General features: G+C 51.1%; 3 annotated features.

The window, feature by feature from the left end:
* Positions 5,297–5,902: an enhancer, noted in NCBI's record as "H3K27ac-H3K4me1 hESC enhancer chr1:10485963-10486568 (GRCh37/hg19 assembly coordinates)". NCBI's record gives its function as "activates a minimal SCP1, AML or CMV promoter by ChIP-STARR-seq in naive H9 embryonic stem cells {active_cell/tissue: H9 hESC(naive)}" and the evidence as "EXISTENCE:reporter gene assay evidence [ECO:0000049][PMID:30033119]".
* Positions 5,903–6,508: an enhancer, noted in NCBI's record as "H3K27ac-H3K4me1 hESC enhancer chr1:10486569-10487174 (GRCh37/hg19 assembly coordinates)". NCBI's record gives its function as "activates a minimal SCP1, AML or CMV promoter by ChIP-STARR-seq in naive H9 embryonic stem cells {active_cell/tissue: H9 hESC(naive)}" and the evidence as "EXISTENCE:reporter gene assay evidence [ECO:0000049][PMID:30033119]".
* Positions 7,463–7,757: a silencer, noted in NCBI's record as "tiled region #15261; HepG2 Repressive DNase unmatched - State 8:EnhW". NCBI's record gives its function as "represses a minimal TATA promoter and a strong SV40 promoter by Sharpr-MPRA in HepG2 cells {active_cell/tissue: HepG2}" and the evidence as "EXISTENCE:reporter gene assay evidence [ECO:0000049][PMID:27701403]".

The raw sequence follows: 8,082 nt of genomic DNA on the forward strand, positions 1-8,082 counted from the left end.
TTTTCACTTTATCTTACTTACTCAGAGAAGATAAAACCTGCCAGTGATATTGTTGTGTGGCCTGGGGCCAGTGTGACTGTTCCCTGCAGCGGTTTGACTTCATGATGATTTCCCTGGAGTGTTAAAGTCCTAAGAGTTGCCTAAGAGGAGCGAGCAGCGCCTGTGCCTCGACAGCTGGTGTCTACAGTGTGACCTCTGACCTCTCGGCTAATGTCAGTGAAGGAGACAATTTTCATTAAATCACCAACTTTTAATTTATTTTTCTTTTTTTTGAGACAGAGTCTCGCTCTGTCACCCAGGCTGGAGTGCAGTGGCGTGGTCTTGGCTCATTGCAAGCTCCACCTCCCGGGTTCACACCATTCTCCCACCTCAGCCTCCAGAGTAGCTGGGACTACAGGTGCCCGCCACCACTCCTGGCTTATTTTTTTGTATTTTTAGTAGAGACGGGGTTTCACCATGTTGGTCAGGATGGTCTTGATCTCCTGACCTTGTGATCCGCCCACCTCGGCCTCCCAAAGTGCTGGGATTACAGGCGTGAGCCACCGTATTTTAAAATTTTGTTTAGAGATGTGGTCTTGCTATGATGCCCAGGCTGATGTCAAACACCTGGACTCAAGCAATCCTCGTGCCTCGACCTCCCAAGGTGCTGGGATTATAGGCAGGAGCCACCGTGCCCTGCTACCAACTTTTTAAACTCTGCCTAGATGTGAGTACTTCGCTAGATCAGCCCCCACGCACCCCTCCTGCCCTCCCTGTACATTTAAGAGAAGCCCGAGTAGCCGCACGTGACGGGATTTTTCTTTAAGGCTTGTCAAAGGCACTGTTCGAGGGGGATCTTTTCACCTGGCTCTGAGGCTGAGGGATGGACACTGCTGGAATGGAGAGAGAACAGCAAGAGGTCAGAGGCTAAGTGTCAAAGGGCCCACGATGTTTCAAACAGTAATGATCAGAAGGGAATCCACTCAGCCCCTTTCCGCTTACCTTCCAAAAAGCTGTGAGTGGTGGAGTTTGGTTTCAAATCCAGCCCTCCTTGCTTACTAGCTGTTAGACTTTGGGGAAATTATTTACTATCTGTGTTCTCAGTTTTCTCATTTGTAAAATGGGAAATAATAGCACCTGTGTCCTTGAGGCTACTTTGGGGATTCAGCAAGGGAAGATAGAGCAGTGCCTGGCACATAGTAAATACCTACACCAGTGGCAGCAAGGCTGGGTGCGCTGGCTCACACCGTAAGCCCAGCACTTTGGAAGGCCGAGGTGGGAGGACTGCTTGAGCCCAGGAGTCTGAGACCAGCCTGGGCAACATAGTGAGACCCCCATCTCTACAAAAAATAAAAATTAGCTGGGCGCAGTGGTGCACACCTATGATCCCAGCTAGGTGGCAGGCTGAGGTGGGAGGATCGCTTAAGCCCAGGAGATGGAGGTTGCAGTGACCCATGACCACACCACTGTACTCCAGCCTCGGTGATAAAGCAAAACCCTGTCTCAAAAAAAAAAAAAAATAGTGGCAGCAATTACTACCATTGAGTGTGCCTGACCCCTGGACCCCTGGAGCAGTGGTGGTTTTTTTTTAGACTGGGTCTTGCTCTTGCCCAGGCTGGAGTGCAGTGATTCAATCACTGCTCACTGCAACTTTGAACTCCCCGAATTCAGGTGGTTCCTCCTGTCTCAGCCTCCCGAGTCGCTGGTTCTACGGGCATGTGCCACCACGCCCCACTAATTTTTTGTATTTTTTGTAGAGACAAGGTCTCACCATGTTGTCTAGGCTGGTCTCAAAACTCCAGGGCTCAAGTGATGCTGCTCCCACCTCAGCTTCCCAAAGTGCTGGGATTACAGGCAGAAGCCACTACCCCCTGGCCAGCAGTGCGTGCTGTTTGTACTGAGAGAAACCAGATGTTACCTCTCAGCACCAGTGGTGAATTTGCTTTGCACCCCAGTCTTCAAAAGGTTTCTGGTGGGGGTGCCTCTGTGTGCTGCGCAGCAGGTGTAGAGGTTAAGAAAGGTCAGAGCTTCTCAAACTAACCTGTTACAACTCCCCCACTCCCACCACCACCCCCGAGATTTTGAAAAAATGTAGATTCTGATTCGGTAGAATCCTGAAAATGGCTCTTCGTGGGGTGGAGCCCCATGTTCTGCATTTCTATCTTTTTTTTGAGACAAGGTCTCATTCTGTGGCCCAGGCTGGAGTGCAGTGTGGCACTATCATGGCTCACTGCAGCCTCAACCTCCTGGGCTCAGGTGATCCTCCCAACTCAGCCTCCTGGCTAGCTGGGACTCCAGGTGCACACCGCCACGCCTGGCTAATTTCTAAACTTTTTGTAGAGATGAGCTCTCCCTATGTTGCCCAGGCTGATCTTCAACTCCTGGGCTCAAGCGATCCTCCCGCCTCAGCCTCCCAAGTGCTGAGACCACAGGCATGAGCCACCACGCCTGGCCCTGGGCCCCAATCTTGGCTCCGCCACAAATTCAGCCTTACTTCACAAGTTAGTTAACCTCTATGTGCGTATTTTCTCCTCTATATAAAAGGGATGATGATAACACCCACCTCACAGAGCCGTCTTCCCGACTAAACACAAGGCACTTGCACCAGAGCCACCACACACTGAGCACTATGTAAGGTTTACTGTTTATTACCTGCCTCCTAAAGAGAGGCTGCCAAACAATTCTGAGTGTGGAAGGAGGTGGAAAGAGGGGTTTTGCCCTTAGCCAAGTCAGTCCTGTTCAGTCTAACCACTAAAAGGGACAGATCTGGTGGCTTCTTTGAGGTAGAAATTATAGGCCCCTAATGATGTCTGCCACAACTCTGCTTTACTGGGGACACAAAGGTGTGTTATACAGACAAGGGTCAGACAAGGAAACAGGAGTTTTGTTTTCACTTTTGAGACAGTCTCACTCTGTTTCCCAGCTGGAGTGCAGGGCGCGATCTCGGCTCACTGCAACCTCTACCTCCCTAGTTCACGCAGTTCTCCTGCTTCAACCTCCTGAATAGCTGGGATTACAGGTGCCCACCACTACGCCCGGCTAATTTTTGTATTTTAGTAGAGACAGGGTTTCCCCGTGTTGGCCAGGCTGGTCTTGAACTCCTGACCTCAAATGATCCACCCGCCTCAGCCTCTCAAAGTGCTGGGATTACAGGCACGAGCCACCATGCCTGGCCAAGCAGAAGGATTGCCAAGCAAAGAGACTTTAGGGAAGGATTTGCAGGGGTTACACGTTCTTTGAGGCAGATGTGGAGCCCATCATTTTGGAAGGGGTGGGAGCCTTCAGCACGCTGTTCAGCATGCGGGCGAATGCGTCTGCTCACTCTGTTAAATCTTGTATGCTGTCACAGTTGCTGCGGACTGGTGTGTAACAAACCACCCCAAAGTCAGTGGTGTAAAATAATCACCATTTAAATTTTCTTCTAATTCTGTGGGTCATGAATCTGGAAAGAGCATGGTGGGGGACGGGGGAGGCAGAGGCAGCTTGTCTGCTCCACAATGTCTGGGGCCTCAGCTAGGAGGACTCGAGAGCAGGGGTGGCACCATGGCTCGGGGGCGTGGAGTGTCCTCTCTCATTCATCTCGCGGTGGATGCTGGCTGTTGGCTGGGACCTCAGCTAGGGCTATGAGCTGGAAAAAGTTCATGTGGCCTCATCACATGGCCTCAGGCCAGAGAAACATCTTGTTTGTTGGCCCAGGGTTCTCACTAAGGAGGCAGAAGCACACACGTGGCTTTTAAAAACCCAGCTGTGAATGTTACATGGCAGGATTATAGCCATCCAAAATCGGTTCCAAGCAAGCCGCAAGTCCCCCAGACTCAAGGGGCAGAGGATTAGACTCTACCTCTTGATGGGGGAGTATGAGGTTCTAGAAAAGCACATGGATCAGGAGACATTGTTCTTGCCATCTTCGTAAATTACAGTCTGCCACATATGCTGCCCCTGAAAAGGAAAATCTGTTACATAGCAGAGTTGGGAACCGGCACTATTTGGGGCTTTTCCTGAGGGTCTCATATAGTATATATACTACTAGCTAACATTGAGAGCATATGCCAGGCTCTGTAACTCATTGAATGCTCGCAGCACCCTCTGAAGTAAGCACTATTACTATCCCTAATTTAGAGATGAAGCACACTGATATTAAGTAATTCGTCCAAGGTCAGAGCTACTGAAGAACTGGAATTGAACCCCAGAGATCTGGTGCCAGAGTCCATACACTTAATCATGAAACTGACCTGTCGGCGTGCACAGTTCATCGCCCCACTCATTCAGTCATTCGGCATGTTTATGGTACACCTACCATGTGCCAAGCATTGTGCTAGGTACCCTCTGTCGGGGTGAGAGAAGTCCAAAGTCCTGACCTCATGTGCTTACAGGATACATATAATATTTAACGATAATTATTTTTAAATTTTTATCTTCTCTTGAATAAACCTATGAAATGGAGATTGATTTTTTTTTTTTTTTTTGAGATGTAGTCTCACTGTCACCCAGGCTGGAGTGCAATGGCATGATCTTGGCTCACTACGACCTCCGCCTCCTGGGCAAGCGATTCTCCTGCCTCAGCCTCCTTAGTAGCTGAGATTACAGGCGTGCACCACCATGCCTGGCTAATTTTTGTATTTTTAGTAGAGATGGGGTTTCACCATGTTGGCCAGGCTGGTCACAAACTCCTGACCTCGGGTGATCCACCCGCCTCGGCCTCCCAAAGTGCTGGGATTACAGGCATGAGCCACCACGCCCAGCCAAGATTGATTTTTGTATTGACATTTTACAGTGCAGTTTTTTTTTTTTTTTGAGACGGAGTTTTGTGGGGAAAAGAAAGATCAGATTGTTACTGTGTTTGTGTAGAAAGAAGTAGACATAAGAGACTCCATTTTGTTTTGTACTAAGAGAAATTCTTCTGCCTTGAGATGCTGTTAATCTGTAACCTTACCCCCAACCCTGTGCTCTCCGAAACATGTGCTGTGTCAACTCAGGGTTAAATGGATTAAGGGCTGTGCAAGATGTGCTTTGTTAAACAGACGCTTGAAGGCAGCATGCTCGTTAAGAGTCATCACCACTCCCTAATGTGTCCGGAATTGGTGGGTTCTTGGTCTCACTAGCTCCAAGAATGAAGCCGCGGACCCTCGCGGTGAGTGTTACAGCTCTTAAGGTGGCGCATCTGGAGTTTGTTCCTTCTGATGTTCGGATGTGTTCGGAGTTTCTTCCTTCTCGTGGGCTCGTGGTCTCACTGGCTCAGGAGTGAAGCTGCAGATCTTCGCGGTGAGTGTTACAGCTCATAAAAGCAGCGTGGACCCAAAGAGTGAGCAGTAACAAGATTTATTGCAAAGAACAAAACTGCCACAGCGTGGAAGGGAACCCAAGCGGGTTGCCACTGCTGGCTTGGGCAGCCTGCTTTTATTCTCTTATCTGGCCCCACCCACGTCCTGCTGATTGGTAGAGCCCAGTGGTCTGTTTTGACAGGGCGCTGACTGGTGCGTTTACAATCCCTGAGCTAGACACAAAGGTTCTCCAAGGCCCCACCAGAGTAGCTAGATACAGAGTGTCGATTGGTGCATTCACAAACCCTGGGCTAAACAAAGGGTGCTGATTGGTGTATTTACAAACCTTGAGCTAGATACAGAGTGCCGATTGGTGTATTTATAATCCCTGAGCTAGACATAAAGGTTCTCCTCCTCCCCACCAGACTCAGGAGCCCAGCTGGCTTCACCCAGTGGATCCTGCACCAGGCTGCAGGTGGAGCTGCCTGCCAGTCCTGCGCCATGCGCCCACACTCCCCAGCCCTTGGGTGGTCGATGGGACTGGGCGCCGTGGAGCAGGGGGCCACGCTCATCGGGGAGGCTCGGGCCACACAGGAGCCCACGGAGTGGGTGGGAGGCTCAGGCATGGCGGGCTGCAGGTCCCGAGCCCTGCCCCACAGGAAGGCAGCTAAGGCCCAGTGAGAAATCGAGTGCAGCGCCGGTGGGCTGGCACTGCTGGGGGACCCAGTACACCCTCCGCAGCCGCTGGCCTGGGTGCTAAGCCCCTCATTGCCCTGGGCGGGCAGGGCCAGCCGGCTGCTCCGAGTGCGGGGCCCGCCAAGCCCACGCCCACCCGGAACTCCAGCTGGCCCGCAAGCGCCGCGCGCAGCCCTGGTTCCCGCTTGCGCCTCTCCCTCCACACCTCCCTGCAAGCTGAGGGAGCCGGCTCTGGCCTTGGCCAGCCCAGAAAGGGGCTCCCACAGTGCAGCGGTGGGCTGAAGGGCTCCTCAAGTGCCACCAAAGTAGGAGCCCAGGCAGAGGAGGTGCCGAGAGCGAGCGAGGGCTTTAGGACTGCCAGCACGCTGTCACCTCTCACTAATCTCAAGTACCCAGGGACAGAAACACTGCGGAAGGCCGCAGGGACCTCTGCCTAGGAAAGCCAGGTATTGTCCAAGGTTTCTCCCCATGTGATAGTCTGAAATATGGCCTCGTGGGAGGGAAAGACCTGACCGTCCCCCAGCCCGACACCCGTAAAGGGTCTGTGCTGAGGAGGATTAGTAAAAGAGGAAGGAACGCCTCTTGCAGTTGAGACGAGAGGAAGGCATCTGTCTCCTGCCCGTCCCTGGGCAATGGAATGTCTCAGTATAAAACCCGATTGTATGTTCCATCTACTGAGATAGGGGAAAACCGCCTTAGGGCTGGAGGTGGGACAGGCGGGCAGCAATACTGCTCTTCAAGGCATTGAGATGTTTATGTGTACACATATCTAAAGCACAGCACTTAATTCTTTACCTTATCTATGGTGCAGAGACCTTTGTTCAAGTGTTTATCTGCTGACCTTCTCTCCACTATTATCCTATGATCCTGCCACATCCCCCTCTCCGAGAAACACCCAAGAATGATCAATAAATACTAAGGGAATTCAGGCCGGCGGGATCCTCCATATGCTGAACGCTGGTCCCCTGGGCCCCCTTATTTCTTTCTCTATACTTTGTCTCTGTGTCTTTTTCTTTTCCAAGTCTCTCGTTCCACCTAACGAGAAACACCCACAGGTGTGGAGGGGCAACCCACCCCTTCAAGTTTCGCTCTTGTTTGCCCAGGCTGGAGTGCAATGCACGATCTCAGCTCACCGCAAAACCTCCGCCTCCCAGGTTCAAGCGATTCTCCTGCCTCAGCCTCCCGAGTAGCTGGGATTACAGGCATGCACCACTACGCCTGGCTAATTTTGTATTTTTAGTAGAGACAGGGTTTCTCCATGTTGAGGCTGGTCTCGAACTCCTGACCTCAGGTGATCCGCCTGCCTCGGCCTCCCAAAGTGCTGGGATTATAGGCGTGAGCCACCACGCCCGGCTGAACTAAATATTTATGGAACCCTCCTTAATGCAGATGAAAAGGATTAAAGAAACCCACCAAGGTCTTTGTCTTATTTATGGTGAGGGCAGTGGATAAACCGGAAACTCGGAAACCAGCCTAATAATCAAATCTGGTCTCTATCACTTCCCAGTAGTTTAGCCTTGGGCAGAGTTCTTTCACCTGTTTCCTCATGTAAAATGGGGCTAACAGCACCTACTTTTGAGGGCAGATGAGATATTAAATGAGTGCCTAGAGCGAGGACAAGTGCAAAGTGCTCAGTGTCATGGCAACATTGCCAGCGGGCATCCCTGGCCTTGCTTCACGCTGTAGTGCAACACTGACATCTAGTGGCCAGATTATAGGGCTACTTCTTCATCAAGTAAGTTTCAACCAAATATTAATATATCCTTTTTTCATTATTTTTTTTAGAGACAGTGTCTCCCTCTGTCACCCTGGCTGGAAAACAGTGGGGCAATCACGGCTCACCATAGCCTTGAACTGGGCTCAAGTGATCCTCCTGCCTTGGTCTCCCTAAGTGTTGGGATTACAGGCTTGAACCACCACACCCAGTTCCATTTTCTGTAATGAATACCTCAACCCTCGACCTATTTCTCAGACCTTTTTTTTTGAGACAGAGTCTCGCTCTGTTGCCCAGGCTGGAGTGCTATGGTGCGATCTCAGCTCACTGCAACCTTCACCTCCCGGGTTCAAGCAATCCTCCTGCCTTAGCCTCCCAAGTGCTAGGATTACAAGCATGTGCCACCATGTCTGGCTAATTTTTGTATTTTTT

Source organism: Homo sapiens, chromosome 1 (genome assembly GCF_000001405.40).
Source record: "Homo sapiens chromosome 1, GRCh38.p14 Primary Assembly".
Classification (NCBI taxonomy): Eukaryota; Metazoa; Chordata; class Mammalia; order Primates; family Hominidae; genus Homo; species Homo sapiens.